General features: G+C 43.4%; 1 long non-coding RNA gene across 2 annotated transcripts in view, besides 1 other annotated feature; it reads left to right on the top strand.

Moving 5' to 3' along the window:
* Positions 1 to 21,916, top strand: part of LINC02884 (long intergenic non-protein coding RNA 2884) — a 130,935-nt gene that overhangs the window by 73,231 nt on the left and 35,788 nt on the right. The gene's annotated exons all lie outside the window — the stretch shown is intronic.
* Positions 19,104 to 19,163: an enhancer, noted in NCBI's record as "active region_1511". NCBI's record gives its function as "activates an Ori minimal core promoter by ATAC-STARR-seq in GM12878 lymphoblastoid cells {active_cell/tissue: GM12878}" and the evidence as "EXISTENCE:reporter gene assay evidence [ECO:0000049][PMID:35858748]".

Below are 21,916 nucleotides of genomic sequence, written 5' to 3'. Positions count from 1 at the left end.
TAGAAGGGGTCTCTGGAATGAGGATCCTTGACATTTAAAGCTTTATTGGCATAAAAATAAATTGATCACTGCTTAGATTATAAATTTATTTAGGATGGTGATGGAAATTACAGGTAATCCACCCTACTTACCCCTTAGAGCTTAAAAGAGAGTGCTGCATAGTAATTAAGGGCATAAATTGTGGAGCCAGTAGTTCTGGGTTCGAGTTCTGGCTATGCAATTTAGGAGTTCTGTGGTTCTAGGCAAACCCTCTAACTCTCAGCATTTTCATCTATAGAATGAGGATAATAATAGTGTTGACATGATGTGCATAAAGTGTAAAGCACATAACAGGCACTCAATATATGCTGGTTGTTTTTTATTTTTTGGAGGGGAGAAGAATTAGCTTCCAGCTTCTGGAGTGGCAGAGTGAAGGTAAAAGGGAGAGTGTCATGAAGGAGAGGATATTTGGTCTGGATCTTAAAGTTCCAATATGATCTAAATATTTGAAATGGGGGTGCATGTTACAGCAGAGATGTGTCCAGTTTGGCCGGAGTACAGGGTGCCAGAAAGTTTGACATGCATTTGACAAGATAATTTGGGGCCAAGGATGGTGGTGAATACTAGACTTTGTTTCCCATGGTTTAACATAATTAGATCTATGATTTTGAAACATGAATTTTTTTTATTATACTTTAAGTTCTAGGGTACATGTGCACAACGTGCCAGTTTGTTGCATATGTATACATGTGTTGTGTTGGTTTGCTGTACCCATTAACCCATCATTTATATTAGGTATTTCTCCTAATGCTATCCCTCCCCCAACCCCCCACCCCATGACAGGCTCCGGTGTGTGATGTTCTCTGCCCTGTGTCCAAGTGTTCTTATTGTTCAATTCCCACCTATGAGTGAGAACATGCGGTGTTTGGTTTTCTGTCCTTGCGATAGTTTGCTCAGAATGATGGTGAAATACGAATTTTAAGACATGGGAGAGGACTGATGAGGAGTGAGAACATGGAGTCAGGAATGGAGTCAGAAGACCCATTAGGAGGTTATCGAAACAGTCTAGGCAGGAGGTGATGAAGACTGGAACTAGGCAGTGTCAGAGACTCACACACACACACACACACACACACACACACACACACATACCACTCCACGTGCATGCAAACACACATCTAGAATAACAGACTGCACATTTATGGCATGGTTACCCTGTAGCTCTCTGAATTGTTTATCCTGATTTCTTTTTTTTTGTTTGTTTTTGTGTTTATCCTGATTTCTGCTGGGACTTGACAAATAGGAGATCAGCCTGGCAGAGCTGTCGACAGTGCCAGGCTGAAACTGTGCCCTTTTAGACATGCTGGGTTCTTGCGTGACAGAATCATGCTCCCTGGGTTACTTTCAGTGCTGGCTGCAGCTGGCTGACTTGTCTTCACATCTGAGTAGGCTCTTTCTGGGGGCCTGTGGGAGCTGCCAGCAAGTGCTGGCCTCCATCAGGCTGATGGGCAGTGCAATTTATTTTATGCTGAAATGACACCAGGGTGACAATGCCTCTTGCAGGAGACAATTTGGTTTCTGTAATTGCTAGCCTGGGGGCAGCGGGAGAGGTCCCTCTCTCAATTCAACATCTGCCAGATTAGCAGGGACACAGGGACAGGCTCCTTTGGAAACAAAGGTTCAGAGACCCCTCTCCTGTCCGCCTGTCCTGGAGCCTTTCAGCCCACAATCTTGTACAGTGGTTCTTCTGAGCCCGGCAGGAGGCAGAAATGAAGTGATTCGGGGCCCAAAGCATTAACCAGTCTGGATGTGGAATTTTGCTCAAAGGTTTTTACCTCATTTGAACCTAGCACTATTCTGGAAATTTCTGTCCAGTGATTCACGAGCCTGTTGCAAACCCAATAAATCATTGATGGTAATTCCTACATGTCCAGCTTCAAGATACAGAACATGGAGGCATAGATTGCTTCAGAACAGGCAAAATGGAAGTTAGAGTTCCTAGTTACAGATTATATTAGATTTTCATGAGACAATCTTCTCCTCCCCTATTTGTCTATATTTGCATCTTTATAGCAGTTGTATAGTGCTTAATATAGTTTTTGGCACATCAATTACTACTAATTTGTTGACTGACTGATTGTATTCTGAGATGAATAATAATTTGAACCAGGTAATTAATTTCTATTATTTTACTGTTAGAAGGAGGGAGAAGATCAGTATATGTCTTTATTCATTTATTCATTTCATAAATATTTACTGAGTGCTTACCAAGTCCTAGGCACTGTACTTGTGCTGAAGATAGAACATCAGATAGGCTACAGCTCCTGACTCAAGGAGTTACAGTCTTGTGGGAGATAGATAACTACATAACACATTACCACAGGGAAGTGCCTGGTGCAATGGGAACACATTCCAGGGGGGCACTTAACCCAGGCAAGGAATGCAGGAGGTGGTCAGGGAAGGCTCCTGATGTCTCACGAGGGATCTGAAGGAAGAGTGAGAGTCAGCCACGTGAAGAGTGGGTGGCAGGTGAAGGCAAGACCAATCTATGGTCAGGACATAAAAGAGTTTCTGGTCTAGGGAAAGAGTTGGACAAAGAGAAAGTAATGATTGCAATAATGTGTATGTACTGAGTGGGAGAAGGAATGGGGGCTTAGAGCTTTTACCAGTTAGGTTTCTTTAGAGGTAAACAATTGAATTGATTCCAGCTAGGTCAAGATGAAGGACATCATGTTTGTTCACAGTTTCAATGGGAAACCTGAATAACCAGGCAGTGCCAGGGTCACCACTACTGGTAAGTCCTCTTGGATTTTGTCTCTAAGACAATGAATGTTGTAAGCTCTGACTGTCTAGACTCTGTGTGACTGTACTCATGTCTTCTGCTTTCTAGGATGAAGAACCTGATTGGCCCAGATTGGGTCAGGTGTCTCTACCCTTTCACCAATCAGGCATGGGCAGGGAATAGGAGGGTGGTGGATATGGCCAATGAAAAATCTCTGTGAATCCTATAATCAGCCTCCTTTCCCCCCTTCCTTTTTCTTTTCTTTTTTTCAAGAGTGCAACTAGGAAGGGAGGACACTTCACCAAGAGTAGGTGCAGCTGGCAGGTAGGAAGTCAGAGAAGGTTTCCTAATGTCTGCACTGAATCTTTTTAGGTCTAGAGCAATCGCCTTTATTTGCAAGGCCCGTGGGTTTCTTTTTTTCCATGACAACCATGCCTATTAATGGATCTCACACAACCAGCTCTAGCACTACTGGACTTCAGTGGATTATCCAATGTCTCTGACAAACTCTGGAGATGGCAGAGGTCTGAGAATTTTCTAGGCTTGTAACTTGAGGGGGTTGAAGGGAGAGGGAGGAAGGTACGTGTGGAAGGGTGGGGCAGTGGAGAAACTCTCCAGACATCAGGAAGACAAAGAGAAATGTGCTATTACTTTTTGTAGTCTAATTTGGGTTTATCCGAATGAATAATTTCCTTAGGCAGCCAGGAGGAGCCTTACGCCCCCTGAGACCAAGACCACTCAGAATTCAGCCTGTTGTTCTGACAACTTTAAATAGGAATCAAACTTGGCTTTGGGGCCTTTGGGGTCCTTCACTGCTTCACTCTGTCTCCAGGCCCAGGAAAGAATTCCCAGGGTCTGAGGGCATGCTCTGCCATGTCTTTGCAGGTACATGAAAATGGCAAATGAGTCCGCAGCCACTCACCCCTCTTCACTTGCTCACCAGGCAAATGGCTTAATACTCCCTGGTCTGGAGAGTGAGGAATCTGACCTTGAATCAACATCTTTACTCACTCCACCTGGGAAGGGCATCCTCCAGCCTTTTTTTTTTTTTTTTTTTTTTTGAGACAGAGTTTCACTCTTTTTGCCCATGCTGGAGTGCAATGGTGTGATCTCGGCTCACTGCAACTTCTGCCTCCTGGGTTCAAGCGATTCTCCTGCCTCAGCCTCCCCAGTAGCTGGGATTACAGATGCGTGCCACCACAACCAGCTAATTTTGTATTTTTAGTAGAGATGGGGTTTCACCATGTTGGCCAGGCTGCTCTCAAACTCCTGACCTCAGGTGATCCACCCACCTTGCCTCCCAGAGTGCTGAGATTACAGGCGTGAGCCACCGTGCCCGACCCCTCCAGCCTCTTATTTATCCCCCGGGTGCTCTTGGCCAGTTGGGTGGGCAATTGCTCTCATCCTCTTAGAATCCTAGACTCATAGACAACCAAATCTAGAAGGCATCTCAGATACCTTTAGACTATCTTAACTTTACAGAAAAGGAAGATGCCCCCAGAGAGAGGATGAGACTTTCCCAAGGTTAAGCAGCTAATTGGTGACAGGACTGACACTAGAACCAAGAGCTCTTGAAGCCCAGTTGAGCCATTAGTTACGTTGACTCTCACACCTCTACTTTCTATTGGGAGTACTGAGTATGCTGGGATCCAGAGACAGCTTTCTCTCTTGTTGTCACCCCCTCAAAGGTCAGAGTTGGTTTCAAGACAGCCCCAGGGGGAAGGAACAACCCTTGCACCTCCCTCCCTTCTATGAAGCATTTTTCCTTGGATGAGGAGCTCTTGGTCTAGGAATCAGACCTAGGCTTTGCTGAGCAAAGGGAGCCACCTGATTCTAAGGAAGAGCTCCTTAGGCTTTTGTCACCAATTTAAGGATCTCCTGGCCCCAGGCCCTGACTGGCCCTGAGGACAAGTTTGCTCTTAGCTGAAGGCCCCTCATCGTGTCTGAATACAGAAGAGAAAAGAAGTGAACTAGTGGGGTTAGCCCAGGGGTCTCCAATCCCTGGGCCACAGACCCATGCCAGTCCATGGCCTGTTAGGAACTGGGACCAGCTAGGAGCCTGTTAGGAACCAGCAGGGGGTGAGCGATGGGCAAGCGAGCATCACTCTCTGAGCTCCACCTCCTGTCAGATCAGCTGTGACATTAGATTCTCATAGGAGCAGGAACCCTACTGTGAACTGCGCATGTGAGGGATCTAGGCTGTGCTCCTTATGAGAATCTAATGCCTGATGATCTAAGGTGGAACAGTTTTATCCTGAACCATCCTCCAGCTGGCCCCCGCTGTCTGTGGAAACATTGCCTTCCTCAAAACCAGTCACTTGGTGCCAAAAAGGATGGCGACTGCTGGGATAGCCCATTTGTCAGCTTGGAAGCTTGTTCTCTGGGCAATTTTGTAGGAACAGGGTGGTAACAGTAGTGGTCCAAGATGACCTGGAGATCCTGGTCATGCAGGGATGATGTGACCTGTTCCAGGTCAGCCCCTTTACCTGCTTCTGGACGCCAACAGGTGCTTCAGATGAGAGAGGAGCTGAACCTATCAAGCTCTTCCTTTCTTTTGAGGGAAGGCTTCTTCAGAACTTGAAATACCAACCTTACAACTCCAAGGGCAATGGTTGTGTCTCCTTCTTAGAGAGTGTTCTTTAGAGAGAGATGATTTTTTTTTCTTTTAGTAGTGGACAAGGTGGAGTGATCAAAGGAAATATTTACAGTCTCACATAGAAATAATTTGGAAACCTTTAAAAACTACTAGAAATTCTTATTTAATACAACCTCTTGAGTATTGGGCTTTCTAAAACTCCCCAGATATTTCTAATGTACAGCCAAGGTTGAAAAACCACTGGTCTTAACTAAGACCACACTGGAATGTTATTTTTATGACAGTAGGGACTTGGTCTCTTTTGTTCACTGCTATGTTCACAGCACTAATAAAGGTACCTGGCATATAGGAAGTCTTACTCAAAAAGCCTTTGTTGATGAGCGAATGAATGAATCCTTTGTGTATTACTGGGTGTATGCTCATCATTTCATCAACTCTTCCTGAGAAAGTGATGTTGGAAGGGCATAGAGAGACCATCTCTGCCTTGGACAGGGAAGGATGGAATGAGTCTTGTCTGGGCTCTGACCAATGTGCAGTTAAAATGATTTAAATAGGACAGGACAAAGCCTGCTGGCACATGGGAAGAGCTCTTGGTCCACAGTGCCTGTGAAGGAGGCCAGGTTCAGAACGTGATGACAACTTTTGTATTTAATTAACATGGCTACAGAGGGATCAGCAGCATAATTTAATGGAGGCTAAGATTACCCACTGGCTGGGGAAAGCTCAGCTCAAAGGAAGCATCTGGAGGCACTATTTATGTAATACAACATGGAATAAAGCCTTGTTGAGAAGTAGGCAGAAGATCGCCTTTCACTGCCTGGAGTTTTTGTGAGACATTTGAGACAACTAAAGTCTGAGAGGTATGGGGATGGTCTATTGTGCAGGCTGCAGCTGCACCTAAGAGTCCAAGGGCTCTTCCTGCATCCAGGGCACTGTCTCCATGGAGACTGGAGGAGCTCATCCTCTCCCTCCTCTTCTGTCTTCCATTCTGTGTTGTGTGGGGGAGCTATATAGTGGGTTCCAAGGGGGAAGAATTAACACAGAACCCACAAAGAGGGAATGAAAGAGGGACACTGAGTGTGAGAGGACAGAGCATAAGCTAAGAGTGTGAGGGTGATGGGGATACAGGGCACATGTGTCATGGGGGCAGAATCTGTTCAGGGGCAGCTTTCCGAGGGCAGGCAGGGTGGAAATGCTATAAATAATGGAAGAGACAAGAACGGATAAAGATTTGAATGTGTGTTTGAAGTAGACAGCATGGGAAGTTCAGAGGTTGTGCTCCAGTAACAGGGAGAGGGAACAAATAAATATCTGCCAGTGACATGCTCTGTGATAGGCAATATGCATACGTTTCCTCAGTTAATCCTCACAATTCCCCTATGAGGTAGGGAGTGTCAACTCATCTTACAGCTGAGTGTGCTGAGGCTCAGAGGGATGGAGTGGCTTGCCTAAGGTAATCAAACCAAGTAAATGGAGAGTTGGATTACACCTAAATTTGCCTGTCTCCAAAGCATGAGTTCAGAGAGGAGAAGTGTAGATGCTCAAACTTTGTCTCAGTGTTTAAAGAGGCTAACTCCATGTTGATATAAGTAATGCAGGTGGGAGTGTCTTCCTTCCAATTGCCCAGTCTATAGACTTTCTGTATAGAGGAGAAAACAGACTATCTGGAGGATATGAATGACTTGCCGGGGGAAACACATCACCGGTCCAACTTGATTTTCCAAGTTGGTTCTTGGAACCAGGTTCTCTTATGATGGAACACTCCCCTAAATAGAGGAGGGCAAATCCTTCCAATGCCAAACAGTTGGGGCAGAATTTCCAGGATATGAAGAAAACTAACTCCCCACATCCATTTTTTTCTTTTCATCTGGAAATGTGAAGCAGTTATTGATAACCACTAGAGTGGAAAGAGACCAGGCCCAGGAGACATGACATCTGAATTCTAGGCTTGCCTCTGACACTGTCTCTCCTGCACCCCTTTCTCCTTTGAGTAAACAGAATCCTCCTTTCCTGTGGGGAACTTCTTCCATGAGGTTTTGATGAAGCTACTCCACGGTCATTGTCAGTAAGGGCCCTGTCATCCCCGTCAGAGCTGCTGGTCACTGTCCAGTCAAGTGTGGAGATAAAGAGAGAGACAATTCTGACAATGTTGGAGCACTTAGATACTGATGTGGTGGATTCTGTATGTTTCAGTTATATGATTCCACAAGTAACAAATTATTTGCAAAGATGACCCCAGTATTTTCTCCCATCTTTGTGTGCATGCTTTTTTGCAATGAGATTTTGTCTCCTCCCATAGACAAATAGAGTCAATTTTCCCTCCCCTTGAATCTGGGATAGCTTTGTGACTTGATTTGACCAATAAAATGTGGTGGAACTCGCACATCTGGCTTCTAAGCTTTCATTTCAAAAGGCCCTGAAGTATCAGGTCTCATCCACTGGGCACCCTGAGACCATCATGCTGTGAAAAATCCTGATTTAGTCCCCTTGAGGATGGAAGAACACATGGAGAGAGGGACCCAGCCAACCCATCAGGTTAATGAAGCCACAGTGAGCTCAGGCAAGACTGGAAGAACCATCTAGTTAATCCACAGAATAATGAGGGACAATAAATCGTTAATGTTTTTTAGTCACTAGTTTTGGGATGGTTCGTTATGCAGCAATAGATAATTGATTCATGAGAGCACAGTCACCAACTTACCCTGTGACTTTGTGTATCAATCACAGTTCTTGACTTAAGCAAAACAAGATCAGCTTTTGCTAATTTGATCTGTATAGTAATTTATCTAAAGGATATTGAATCATCAGAACGGCTGAAATACTATGATCAGAGCTACTCAGACAGAAACATGTTCCTAAATTTGCCGCCATCAGCATCCCTCCATGGTTATGCCACAAGTTCAACTGTGTTCGGTTGTGATGCCAGAGTGACAGAGAATCCTTTACTATCCTTGCTTCTTTGCATCACTAGCTTCTGATTCAGTGTCGAGGGTGGAGCTTCTGATTGGACAACTCTAGGGCAAGTGTCTGCATCCTAGCTACAAGGGAATCTAGGAAAGTAAATATCTGTCATTTCAAGCTGTTATAATGGGAGGCAGACTTGTAAGATGGTGATTTTTCCAAATGTAGAAAGCGAGCCAAAAAACAATGACCGACATTCTCTATAGTCCACCCATTTTCCAAATCATCAATGCACCCCATTCTTTCCATATTCATATTTCTGAAAGAAAAATTTTCTTCCTAATAGAATTCAGTTATCTCCTGCTTAATCAAAGCCAGCTCATCTTCTCTCTAGATTCTCATCAGATACTGCATCTAGCTTCAAGTTTAGGATCTGTGGTTGATATCTATTTATCCTCTAGCTCTGGCATGTATTTGCATTAATATTCTGTAATTTATAGAATAAATTGTGAACCTAATCACAATGAACATATCCTACATGAAAACACGAGGCAAATGGAAAAAATGGAGCATAACATTTGTTGAAATACATAAACATTTATATAATACAACATAGAAAATAATTCACATAGGTACTCCTGTCCTTGTTTTCACTTAGTTGAAATATAGATATATTTTCGCTACAGTTGATATTTAAGATTTCCTTCTTGATTAACTTGTCCATGTTTCCTTTATTTTCACTCAGTACTCAGTTCTAGTTTTTACAATTGGTGGGTCGATGCAACATTCATTTTAGAGGGATTTGATCTCTTAGTAGTTTTATCTATGTGAGGTTGCAATGGTCTTCCATCAGCCATTACCACTGGAAGTGGAGATAGGTCACCCTAGGAGATCCCTTGTGTTCAATCCATACTCTTTTGTGGCCCCAGTGTATTGCAGCAATCCTATTTCCCCTTGATGATCTACAGCAATTGCTCCAGTAATCCTTTTCTGGGGGGAGGGCCTATTCATTCAGTGGGAATAGGAGCCATAAATGGTTAGGTTGGACTCAGCTTGCAATTCAATGAACTAGTTGTTGTGTTTCCTAGTAGAAGCCTTCTTCCTTGGATGCTAAAATTTCTAAGCCTGCAATATCCAGAGTTATAAGGATTGGAAGCCAAAGCTTTACTAATGCATCATTTAGTGTAGCAGTTAGATGTATCATCCCACTTTCACCCTTTGGTTTCTGGAGTCATGATTTCTGGCTAGCTAAAAAACAGTATTATTATTGTTTTTAATTTTTAATTTTTGTAGGTACATAGGTGTATATATTTATGGGGTACATGAGATACTTTGATACAGGAATGCAATACATAATAATCACATCATGGTAAGTGGAGTATCCATCCCCTCAAGCATTTATCCTTTGTGTTAGAAACAATCCAATTATATATATTCTTTTAGCTATTTTTAAATATACAATTAAATTATTATTGACAATATTCACCCTGTTGTGCTACCAAATACTAGGTTTTATTCATTCTGTGTATTTTTTTGTATCTATTAAGCATCCCCACTTTCCCTCCACCCCCTGCCACTACCCTTCCCAGCCACTCATAACCACCCTTCTACTCTCTATCTCCATGAGTTCAACAGAAACAGCATTTTGATGATTCAAAGAATATACTTCATTCTTCAAGACAGTACCTCAGCCATGGAAATGGGTTGAGTGAGGAGTAGCAACACATTAGGAACAGGCATACTGGGAATATAAGCTTATGAAATTCACTTGTACCATTAGGACTTACTTAAGCCTGACCTGCTTGTATCATTTCCATAGATAATGATGTGCTGCTAAGCCTGCCTGATTTTATAAGTAGGTGGATCGATAATACCCTGTTCAGGATGAGTAGTCCAGGATGCATGATTATCTAGTGTCTGATGATCACTCATTCACTCTCAGCCAGGGCCTAGTAGCAAGCTAACAGCTATTTCTTTTAAAATCATTATTTTTAAATTGACATATAATAATTGTATGTATTTATGGGGGACAATTTTGATATATGTATGCAGTAGTAACTTGCTGAAGAAGATCTGGCTTTCTCCAAAACCTTAAGAGGCTTATTCTATGATTCTCCTATTCAACCTTACTTCATACTCCATATAGTACCCTGAGCTGCCAAAAGTACTTCAAATGTCATTGGATCTTATGGATCACAAGGGCCAAGTGAAGAGGTGCTTATATTACAGCCTGAACCAGTTGGAGAGCCCTCTTTACCTCTGAATTTTGCTCAAAGTTGTTAACCTTGCTGGTTTCAGGGAAAATGAACTGGATCAGTAAACAAAATATGGTATACATTACCTCCAAAGCCCAAGGAGATCCTTGCAATGTTATGCCATTTCTCTTCATTGTAAGAGGTACAGAAAGTTGTCTTATTTTAGAAAGAATGACCTCCACCATTGGACCCCACCCACTAATTGGGCTTGTGGTCCAATTGGGCCTACCATGAGGTGGACTTAGGTAAACCCTCATTTATTGCTTGTCTCTCATTAGTACCTGCTCACACCACAGTAGTGTTCTGAGTCTTCAGATTTTGCTATTTTCTTACAGCCAGTATCTGATATTTTCAGGAAGACACTGGATATTTACTTTCCCCCAGGACATAGATACTCTGGTAAATGGCTGCAGGACTCTTTGGGAGACTTCTGGGAGAAAGATTAAAGGTATAGCTGCCATGTAATTGCAGGGTTCTTACTGAAGGGTACTCATCTTCCTCTTCCTACATGGAGAACTGAATCTGAATGAACTGAGGTACAGGGATTGAATGAAGAGCCAAGTATCAGTAGGACATTTTAAGCTTCAATAACAGAAAATCTTGACTCAACTGGCTTGAAAATTAAAGAAAATGTACATTGCATAAAGAAATGCGTGCAGACTAAGATGTACAAGAGCTGGTTAATTCAAAAGCTCAAAAATATCACTGAGGACCTGGGCTCCTTATATTTCTTTGCTCTGCCCTTCCCAGTGTCTTGGTTTGCTTCCCTCTGTGGTTGCAAGTGGGCTTCCACCCTGGCTGTGGGGACCACATGCAGTTAAATTATGTCCAACATATGAGAGACTATTCCTTCCTTAGAGTCTGTGTTTTGGAGGAAGGAATTCTCTCCTGGAAGTCTCAACTGGACTTCTGTTAGAAAGGAGGAAAAAGTATTGGTGAGTAGTTTATTGGATGGTAAGTGAACAAGGTCTGCTATCAACTGCAACTCTCAGTCATGAAGACACAAGTCAGGACTCTATTCATCAGGCCTGTTAAATCAAAATAAAGACTTTACTTATATGTCCATCTCTTTTACTCTTGGGACTCCATGAGCTGCCATGCCAAAGATCCGTATGGGCTTGTATTAGTCAGTGTTCTCTGGAGAGACAGAACCAATAGGATATATCTATAGATATATGAGAAGGGATTTATTAGAGAAATTGACTTACATGATTATGGAGGCTGAGAAGTTCTATGACAGCCCATGTGTAAATTGAAGACCCTGGGATTCTGGTAGCGTTGCTTAGTCCAAATCTGAAGACCTCAGAACCAGGAAGCCAATGCTGTAACTCTCAGTAACTCTCACCATTCTCAGTATGAAACCAAAGGCCTGAGAACCCAGGAGGTCGCTGATGTAAGTCCTGGAGTCTAAAGGCCAGGGAGCCTGGAGTTTTTGTCCAAGTCCAGGAGAGGAAGAGTGTATCCTGGTTTCAGTAGATAGATTGACATATTCACCTTTTTTCCCACCTGTTTTTGTTCTGTGTCCCCAGCAGATTGGCTGGTGCCTGCACAAATTGAGTGCAGATCTTCCCCACCTATAATCCACTTAGACTCATGTGCTAACTTCCTCTGGAAATACTCTCACAGACACACCCCAAAATAATGTCTTACCAGATTTCTAGGTATTCCTTAGTCAAGTTGATGCCTAAAATTAACTTTCACAGAGTCAGCCCATTCTGATTATCAGGCTGGTCAGCTGCCTCTTCTGGTAGCCAAGCTCTGATAATTACTGCTCTTCCCAGGCCTGTGCTACTTTGTGATTTTTCCCAGACAAATTGAAATCGTGCATCTCATTTCCAACTATATCATCTTTCTACTAGCATTCTTGGCTTACAGAGAATAGCCATGCTTTTTATAAAGATGTTGGCACTACTGTCACTAATGTATTTACCATTGCCTTAATGAAGGTAGTGTGTTTTGGGTCCTCTTGGGAGATACAGGAGGTGGGGAAGCACTTGTAATAAATCCGCTCTAACATTGCTCTCTCCCTAGGTCTTTGAATTTACTTTCTCTAAATTATAGCTTGTAATTTCTGGCATCTTGGCTCATTGGAGCACTAATGTACTGTACCATGGAGCACTAATGAGTCCAGGTTTTTGTCAACTCACCCAGCAAACAATTAAAATAACTAGATGCTCAAGCTAGTGCATCAAATACAGAATTACTGCACATATCAGCATATCAATAAACTCAACTTAATCTAAAAGTATGCTTTTCCCTTGTTGGTCTAATACCCTCAGAATCTACTCCCTCACATATTTCTCAGGTCTCTACTAATACAATGATCAGAGTCATAAACTTTTGTCTGTAAGTTTTCCCTTAAGATATTGTATATGGATGAGCTTCATCCTCTACCCCACTCTACTCCCAGGAACATGTTGAGATCTAACCCTAGTTACAGGAGACAATGAGGAGTAGAGCAGGTGGAACATGAAGAGAATGAACTTCCCTTTGCAAGATAATACCCTCAGGTTAGATCATTGCAGGATTTTTAGGCGAGATGGGAATACTTGCATAGGAAGGGAAGAGGAGTTGATTTGGCTAACAAGAGAGATAGGAATCAATAAAGTCTAGAAATTCATGCCCTGAGTCATCCGAATCCTCTCGTAAATCTCTGTTCCAATTCTTAGGTCTACCTCTTTCCCGTTCTATGCTCTAATTTTCACCTAAGCAAAAATTTGGAAGGCTACATGTTAAACGAATCTTCTAGGCTGGATGTGGTGGCTCATGCCTATAATTCCAGCACTTTGGGGCAGGCAGATCACTGGCGGTCAGGAGCTTGAGACCAGCTTGGCCAGCATGATGAAACCACATTTCTACTAAAACTACAAAAATTAGCCAGGTGTGGTGGTGTGTGCCTGTAATCCCAGCTACTCAGGAGGCTGAGGCAGGAGAATTGCTTGAACCCAAGAGGCGGAGGTTGCAGTGAGCCAAGATTGCACCACTGTACTCCAGCCTGGGAAACAGAGGAGACTCTATCTCAAAAAACAAAAACAAAAACAAAAACAAAAACAAAAACAAAAACAACAAAAACAAAACTAATCTTCTAATTCAGCAACCTGTAGGATCAAACTTTGTGTCTGATTTTTGTCTATTTCAGGGTTGTGGCTGTAAGACAAAAGAGATTCTTCAAGCAACAGGTAGAAAATCTGTGGTTTTTATTTTGTGTCTTGACTTGAGAACTTAAGAATTTGTGTGTTTTTATTCTTTGTTTTAAAAAATCCACCTAGCACTATTGGAAGAAAGCAGTTTATCCTATAGTCCTTGATTTTTTCATGCTTTTAATATTGTTGTATGGTGGCAACTGTTTCATACCCTAAACCTTGACTTTAATAGGTATTTAATTCCAGATGACTACAGGTAGAAACCTAATGGTATGCCACTATTTACCGTGTTGTGGCAGAGTCCCATATTTTACTCCAAGCTGAATTTTTACTGTGTGTAGCCCTAAGCATGTGAAACAAACCATCTCGGATTCCTGTTAATTTCTGGAGGGTCTGTTTCTACCCAACTCTTGGTAATATTTTGGCATTAGCCAAGGTTTTTATTTGCAAGCAACATAAATCGACTGTGGAGAAAAATAAAAGATTGATTAAAAGGATATTGGGTAGCTTACTGAACCAGGAAGGAACAGCATCCAAAAATCATGACCCTTGAGATAAAATCTTCCTCTATTGCCTTTTCATTGAGTTACCATCTACCAGTCACAACATGGGACAGGAGTGTCTGGTTGGCAAGAGGTTATGTCCAATGTCTTTGCCCTGGAGAAAAAAATAGCATGGAAAGTGAATACCTGGCATTTCTGGCTTCCATAGTGGGAGATGGGTTCCCCACGAAGGCTCCTAAGGTGGGGAATTGCCCAAAGGCAGGAGTTAAGTTGCTGAACAGCCAAAACAAATGGTAGATGCCCATTAGCCCTTGAGCAAGTTATTGCCTTCTCTGTTCCTCAGTTTCCTCCTCCCTAGAAAGAAGGGTGTAAACTAGATGGTCACTCAAGTTGCTCCCAGATCGGTTCTTCTGAGGCTCTACCACTCCCCTTTGGCTTCTGTGGAGTAGACAATTCTAGCTCACATTGTTCCAACTAAGAGGCAATGTGCCCTTGGACTGCTTCTAGTCATAGAGCACCAGGGGATGGGGGACAGAGGGGGTGCCCAAAGTGACAGCCTGAGGGGGTGAAGGCTACTCTTCCTGGCTTCTGGCAGTTGTTGAGTTGAGCTCTTGTGCAGCTGTTTGCAGCAGGTTTCACACTGAAGCAGAAAATAGAAACAGTGTCAGGCCAGCACCGTGAGTGATCTAGAGAACAAAGTCATTTTTCAAGACACTGCCCTGTTTAAACACTGGGTGTCGAGGTGACAGATTTTGTAGACACTTTATGGGAAAAAAAAATTCACCACCTTGAGTGATTTTGAAGCCTTTAGAAATATTTGGCAAGTGTGAACAGTTGGTTCCCCACACTTTCTCTTTAATCAATTGCTTCTTTAAGAAGTGGCTGTGCTGAAGGGAGAGAGCTGTATAGTTCCTCCCCCACCTCTGGCTCCCTTTCCGGCGCATTGGGTTTTCAATATGAAGAGGCAAAATTTTCTCTACAATCCCCAAAATGGTGCCTGCATATTAAAAATACACCAGCTTTCTTTGCTGTTTGCCTGCGGATTTGTTTCATTTCATACCTCACTGAAGCCTCCTCTCTGTTCAGAACACGCTGTACCCAGTTGTAAGGAGAGAAGAGGGGAGGGAAGAGACTTGAGAAAGCATCACTTGTTTTCTTAGCAAACTCTAAAAATGTTAAAAATTGAAGCCTGAACTTTGAATGAACAGAAAACTGAGGACTTTAAGAGGAGTTTTCATTCACTGGCTTGCCTGGAGCTTTGACCTTGCCCTTTCCTTCACCTGAAGGTGGCATCTACAAGCTCAATCAAAAGATGGACATTGGGATTCAGGGTCTGAATTACTACTACCTTTCAGCCCTTGTCCAGCCAGGATCTAGAAACAGATCCACGTTTCCTAAATGGGTGAAGCAAACATTTATGTAATTGAATATGACATGCCTCATGAGAAGCCAAGCCATTTCTTCTGCATCTACTTACCACCTGCAGTAGGTTAAATGTGTCCCTCCAAAATTCATACCCACCCAGAACCTCTGGCTGTGACCTTATTTGGAAATAGGATCTTTGCAGATGTAATTAGTTCAGGATCTTAATATGAAATCATCCTGGATTTAGGGTGGAACTAATCAAAAGATACATCTTTCTAAGAAGAGGAGAGGACACAGAGAGACACACAGAGAAGGTGATGACAATGATGAGAAGACGGAGGCGGAGATTGGAGTGATGATGCATCTACAAGCCAGGGAACATCAAGGACTGCCAGCAACCACCAGAAGCCAGGAGAGAGGCATGAGACAGTTCTTCCTCCTATCCTTCAGAAGAAATCAACTCTACTGACACCATGATTTTGGATTTTGGCCTCCTAAAATGTGAGAAAATAAATTTCTGTTGTCTTAAGCCATGCGGCTTGACATAATTTATTACAGCAGCCCCAGGAAACCAACATACCATTTTGAATGCCCCTTTGCTCCCCAGTTCTCAGCCCATAATATCCTGTAAAACTTTCTTTTCTCTCAAGTTTCACCTCAAATGCTACCTCCATGGTGAAGTTATTTGAAACTTCATTAAAAATTCATCATTTCTTCATTCCTTGTTCTCACAGCCTTTGGCACTGACTTTGTTCTATTATTTAGTTAGTGGTTTACATTGGTGCTCCTCCCTCCTTGATCATGGCTTTCTGAGGGTAATGACAGATCTTCGCATCTCCTTCTTTCTAATGCTCAGTAAAGCACCTGGTGTATAGCAGACACTAGTAAATGTGTGTAGAGAATGGATGGAATGAAACCATGGCATCCTCCAAAGGTGACACATTAGGTGCTGCCAGACTTCTGAAGAGGGACAGCTTGCCCCTGGTGGATCTTTCACACCCCTTACCTGTATGCATTTATTTTCTTCTGATGTCATCTCTGTCCTCTGTGCTTAGCTGCTGACTGTTAACACATTTCTTCTTAAGTGTTAACTGACAATCTTGGTGTTGGCTGGTCCCAGTTAAAGGTAAGGCTCTTTCCAGGATCATCCATACTCACAACATAGAAAATCTTCACACCTTAGGAGCATCTGGTTGGGGCATGGGAAGGTGACTTACTGGTTTTACTGGGGAGATGGAAGATGTGAAGGAGCACAGGCTTCCTATGCTGCTTCTGAAACACTGCAGATCTCTTCCTGGAAGATATGGTCCAGGTGGCTGTCTCTCACTCTGCTTTGTGTCCACTGCTGCTCCCCTGCCCCATTTCAGCCCACTCCCTCCCAACCTCCCCCAATTCCTTGCCAACCACCAAATGATCTGGATTGCTTGGGTATAAGAAATACTGTCTTTTGTCCTCATTGGGCTAACTTTTTGTTGTTGTTACTGCAAGGCAAACCTTAGGAATTTGACAGAATTGAACTATTTTATTTTTTAAAAAAATGTTTAAATGAAAGAATGGAAAGGAAAAGTGGTACTCAGACAACTTTCTGAGCATATGGTCAGGTGAGGTGGTAAGAGCTACCTGCAGGGTGCTCCATGGACTGCATGGACTCTCTCTGCCCAGGTGATGTTGTGTACCTTCCCATGCAGCATAGATCCAAGGGCTTGAGTGGGGTGCACGAGGAGCTCTGCCAGTGTGGTTGGGCAGAGGTGATGCTGAGAACTGCCTCCTGAGCAAGCCAACTCATGTGATGGGGACTGGGAGAAGGTGGCTAGGAAGACCCAGTGCCCCTCCCTGCTAACAGCCACCACTACCTCTGTGTCCTCACAGACTTCTGCTGGCATATTGGAGGTTAATGTCACAGTGCTCAGCTACTTGGTAAAGCAAGTGAGAATAGCAGGGATCTGTGGAGACCATGGCAGATTCCAGTTCGGAGGCCACATACTCTGAAGCTGAGGTTGATTTATGAGGTAGGCTTGGATTCTCCTGCTTCAGCTCCCTCTGGAACTCTCTTGAAGGTTCTGATCATTTTATTTTCTTTCTAAATTACCATATTGTCATTCACCCTTAGCAAATGGTCCTGGAACTTAAAGGGAGCTGCTTTGGTGGAGTCATTAATCACAGAGCATGGAGGGATCTTGGGGACCGCTCTCTTCTCTCCTTCCCTGCTCCACTTAGATGGCAGGATTCTCTGTCCTTTAAGTGTCCTGCTCCATGACTTGGACTTCACTCTGAGAGTGGGCCAGGACTTTTATGGGGAAGGCTTTCAGGAAGAGAGAGTGAGAGAGAAAAAGTGTCTTAGTTTATTCCTGCTGCTTTAACAAAATACCACAAATTGGGTAATTTATAAATAAAGGAAATTTATTTCTCTCTTCTTAAAGTCTGGGAATATACTTGGTGAAAAGAAAAGAAAAGACATTTATTTCTCTCAGTTCTGGAGGCTGCAAAGTCCAAGATCAAGGCTCCAGCAGATTTAGTGTCTGATGAGGGCGTGTGCCTTCTTGTTGTTCCTCTCACATGGCAGAAGGGGCAAAAAGGAAGTAGGGTGCTCCCTTTAATGTCTTCTATAAGGGCATCAATCTAATTTCTGAGGACTCCCCTTCATGACTTAATCACCTTTTAAACACCCAACCTATTAATACTGTCAATTGGGTATTAGATTCCAAAATATGGACTTTGGAGGGACACATACATTCAAACCATAGCAGAAAGATTGGTTCATTCAACTCATCTATGTATATTGAATACCCCTTTATGCCAGGCTCTATCTTAGGCACTGGGGATATAGCTATGAACAAAACACACACAAAAAACGGACCCTCAAGGAGCTTACGTTCTAGTTGTAGAATGACTTAAACAGTACATGTATTGTTTTTTCTTTTCCAGAAGGCAGAAACAAGGCAGGGGATCCAAAAACTTTATTGCTGACCTGAGGTGGAGAGTACATCAGAGGGCAGCAAGCCAAGTGTCTGTCTTATCATCAAATACCCCTGTATCTCTGCAGGGTTGTGTGAGGCTTGGGCGATGATGCCAAACAGACATCATTTAACCAACAAATTTGCCCTCCCTGTACTCAAAGCCTGCTGGGGGAGGATGGGACTGGGTGACAGTATGGCCAATTACTCCAGTTTCTACAAGCATGTCAAAAATTACTCCAGTTTCTGCAAGCATGTCACAGGCATCCTCTGCTGAGTCAGTTCTTGGACTGAATTGTGAAGATAAGGGTTGCTGAGTTTGCATTATCCCTCAGGGAGAGCCAACAAGCAGTATCACCCAGTCTCTAGAGGGCTCTCAAAATGGGGGGAAGAAAGAAGATCGGGAAGGTGGAAGAGGGGAGGGGAATCCATATGTCCTGGGGCATGAGTCCAGTGAAGACACAGACGGTGTCAGGGACTCAAACCTATTAGAAAGGAGAACATTTCTGTGTGACCTTGGCTTTCCTTTCTCTGCCTTTTCAGGAAAACCGGTATGTCCAGTGTCTTATATTCCAGCACCAGCCAGGCTCAGGTTTTGTCAGGGGTGCTGGGGAGTATCTCTGGCAGAGAGGGCAGAGCAGCAGGGCTGTCAGGCCTCAGGGCTGGGGGGACTTCCCTAGAGCATCAACAGGAGGAAGAGGACAGCAGGAGGCCAGCCTCCAGGCTGAAGGGTCATTGGTCTCTAGGGAGAGAGGGCTCATGGCCTTGGCCCAGGGACTTTGCTTGGCTGTCTGACAGGCCCAGCATCTGCTGGGGCCACTGCACAGCCAGCATTAGCTCTGGGCAGGAGCCTGACTCATAACAAGCTCCTAGGTCTCCTCATCTCCAAAAATAGGGCCTGAATTTGATCTGTCACTTACAGCATTTAAAATAATTTTTTAAAAAACAAGAGAACTACCTTTTAAACAAGAATTTACAAAAAACTCTGATTTTAAAACCAGTCAAAAAAAAAGCATATTGGTTGAAGCAGGACAGGAGCTGGAGTCCTGCCTGCTCAGTCTCTCTCCTCCCCTTACCATGGCCCTTGAACGGCTCTTGGAAGCCCAGGCTTCCCAGAGGTAAGTGTGAGAACTATTGGACAGACATGGTGTAAGGCCCCTCAAACTGACATTCATGGCTGTGTGCTGTTGGTCTTCCCAGGCACAGAGAGGCAAGTGAAGGGCCAGTGGAGCCAAGGATGTGAACTGCTGGCACTTTCTAATGAGGCCTAGTTATAAAGTGGTCTTCTTCATAGCTTCAGACTTTTTTAGTTGCTTTTTTCTGTTTCTTTTGGTCTCTATTTTCTGTTTTTCACATGAGCTCTTTTTCAATGTCTTGTAATGTTGGAAAAGCACCTGGAATTCCAGAGTTTGACCTCCCTGTTCTGGTAGAGTGAACCTGCCACAATGGCACCTGGGAGCCCCCAGGTTCACCCTCTGCAGACAGTAAACTTGCAGTCTCTTGCCAGCATAGGGGATGGGCGCTGCCTGGTGCTGGAATGGAGGAGGCTTGAGAGCTGCTGCTGCTGAAACAGCTTTCTACCTGTTCTCCTTATTTTGACAACTTCTTTTCACTTCTACTTCCAGAAATATTTTGTGCTGCCAATGCCAGGGCATTTTGAGGATTCTGTGGTATACATCAGGTTGACTTTTAGCTTTCCTCACATAGATTTCTCAAATCTGTCAAGTTCATTATCCTTTGCCTATCCACTTTGCAGCTTCCAAAATTTTATTGCTATTTTCTCCTTTCCCATTTTGTCTTGTCCTTGTGGGTTTACACCTTTGTAAACAATCCCTTTGCTGTAATTTTAGTGAGATTTGGGGAGGGAGAGAAATTAGATGTGTGTCTTCAGTTCACTACCTTTAACAGGAAGTCTGGCCATTGAATTTTATCACTTAAAAAAAGACCTTTCCCAGTTTCCCACTAAGCAAGGCCCCAGACACCCGGCACAGGCTTTATGCATTAGCAGGAAAGCTGCTATTCTCCCTGTGTGATGGCCCATTGGTCACTGTCTAGGCCCAGCATCTTCTCCCAGTCCTGATGATACCCTGTCAATCACATTCCCTCCACCTGTCATGCTTCATCACCTTCCCTATTCCTGTACATCATTCTCTCCACTTAGATGCCCTTGGGCCCCTATCAAGACACTTTCAATCCATCAAGGGAAAAAAATATCAATGATTTTTTTTTTTTAACTGAGCATCTAGGTAGGTCTGTGAATATGGGAATCAGATTTTCTGAGTCCCAGATTGGGATTTTTGTTCTGGTCTTACATTAAAAAAGATTGTTTTGCAGATGTAGTTTAAACACTAACATTTTTTAAATTTAGGGAGCACCAGGACAGAATATTTGAAATCTAGTTTGCCCAGAAAACCTGAGATGTCTTCATTATGTCTGGGGGAAAAGCAAGAAAAATCTCTTTTCTCAAGGAGCATATAATCTAGCTGGGATTGCAAGTTGGAAACACTAAAAAAGACAGTATCAGGCATGTTGGCAAGTGCCAAATAAGTAATATAGAGTGCCCCAGGAGCTTTGAGGACAGGAGGTCCTTGAGGTGCTGGGCTGGACAAAAAGAGATTTACTGGAGACAGGCTTTAAAGATGGGCCTTGTAAACTGCTCACAGATGTCTGAGACTGGTTCTGGTGGTGAAGAAACTAGGAGATTACACTGCCCTTGTTGCCAAATCTTTCCCTGTTTCTTGTAATCTGCGGTCTATTACCCACAACCACCAGTCACCTTCCACCATCTGACTGTCTGGGCTTCTTGGTAATTCCTCCTCAACCTTAGAACTCCCTTTGAATCATTTAGGATTAAGTTGTGCTTTAAGTAACAGACACCCCAAATAACTGTGGCTTAAACAAGAAAGTTTATCTCTTCCTCAGGAAAAGTCCAGAGGCATCTGGTTTTGAACTGGAAGGGAAGTTCTGTTCTGTGAAGTCTTCCTGGATGCAGGATCTTTCCAGCTTCCTGTAGTTCTCATCCTAATAGACCAAGAGGGAGGCTAGTGCCCTAGCCATCACATCCACATTCCAGGCAGCAGGATGGAGGAAGGACTAAAGAAGAAAGGGGAGCAAAGGATGACCATGAGCTGTCTTATAAGACAGGGTCTTAGAAGCTGCTATGTATTACTTTTGTTTATGTCTGTTAGGCCAGCACTTAGTCAAATACATTAAATTAAGTTGGGATATATAGCCTTTACTCTGGGTAGCCAGCTGTTATTATGGAAGAGGAGAAGAGAAGCTACTGGGACAACTAGACATCATGGCCACACTGTTGCCATCAATCCCTCTCAGGCCTCGTTTGGCCACCCCATAAATCTGTCCCTCTCTCATTGGCACATTTCTCCACCCGTTGATCTTGTTCTTTGTGGCCCCTGTTGCTTAGAGTTGATAAATGTC

This window comes from Homo sapiens, chromosome 1 (genome assembly GCF_000001405.40).
Source record: "Homo sapiens chromosome 1, GRCh38.p14 Primary Assembly".
NCBI lineage: Eukaryota > Metazoa > Chordata > Mammalia > Primates > Hominidae > Homo > Homo sapiens.
Note: the sequence above shows the minus strand (reverse complement) of the source record. Positions and strands in the feature narration are given on the sequence as shown.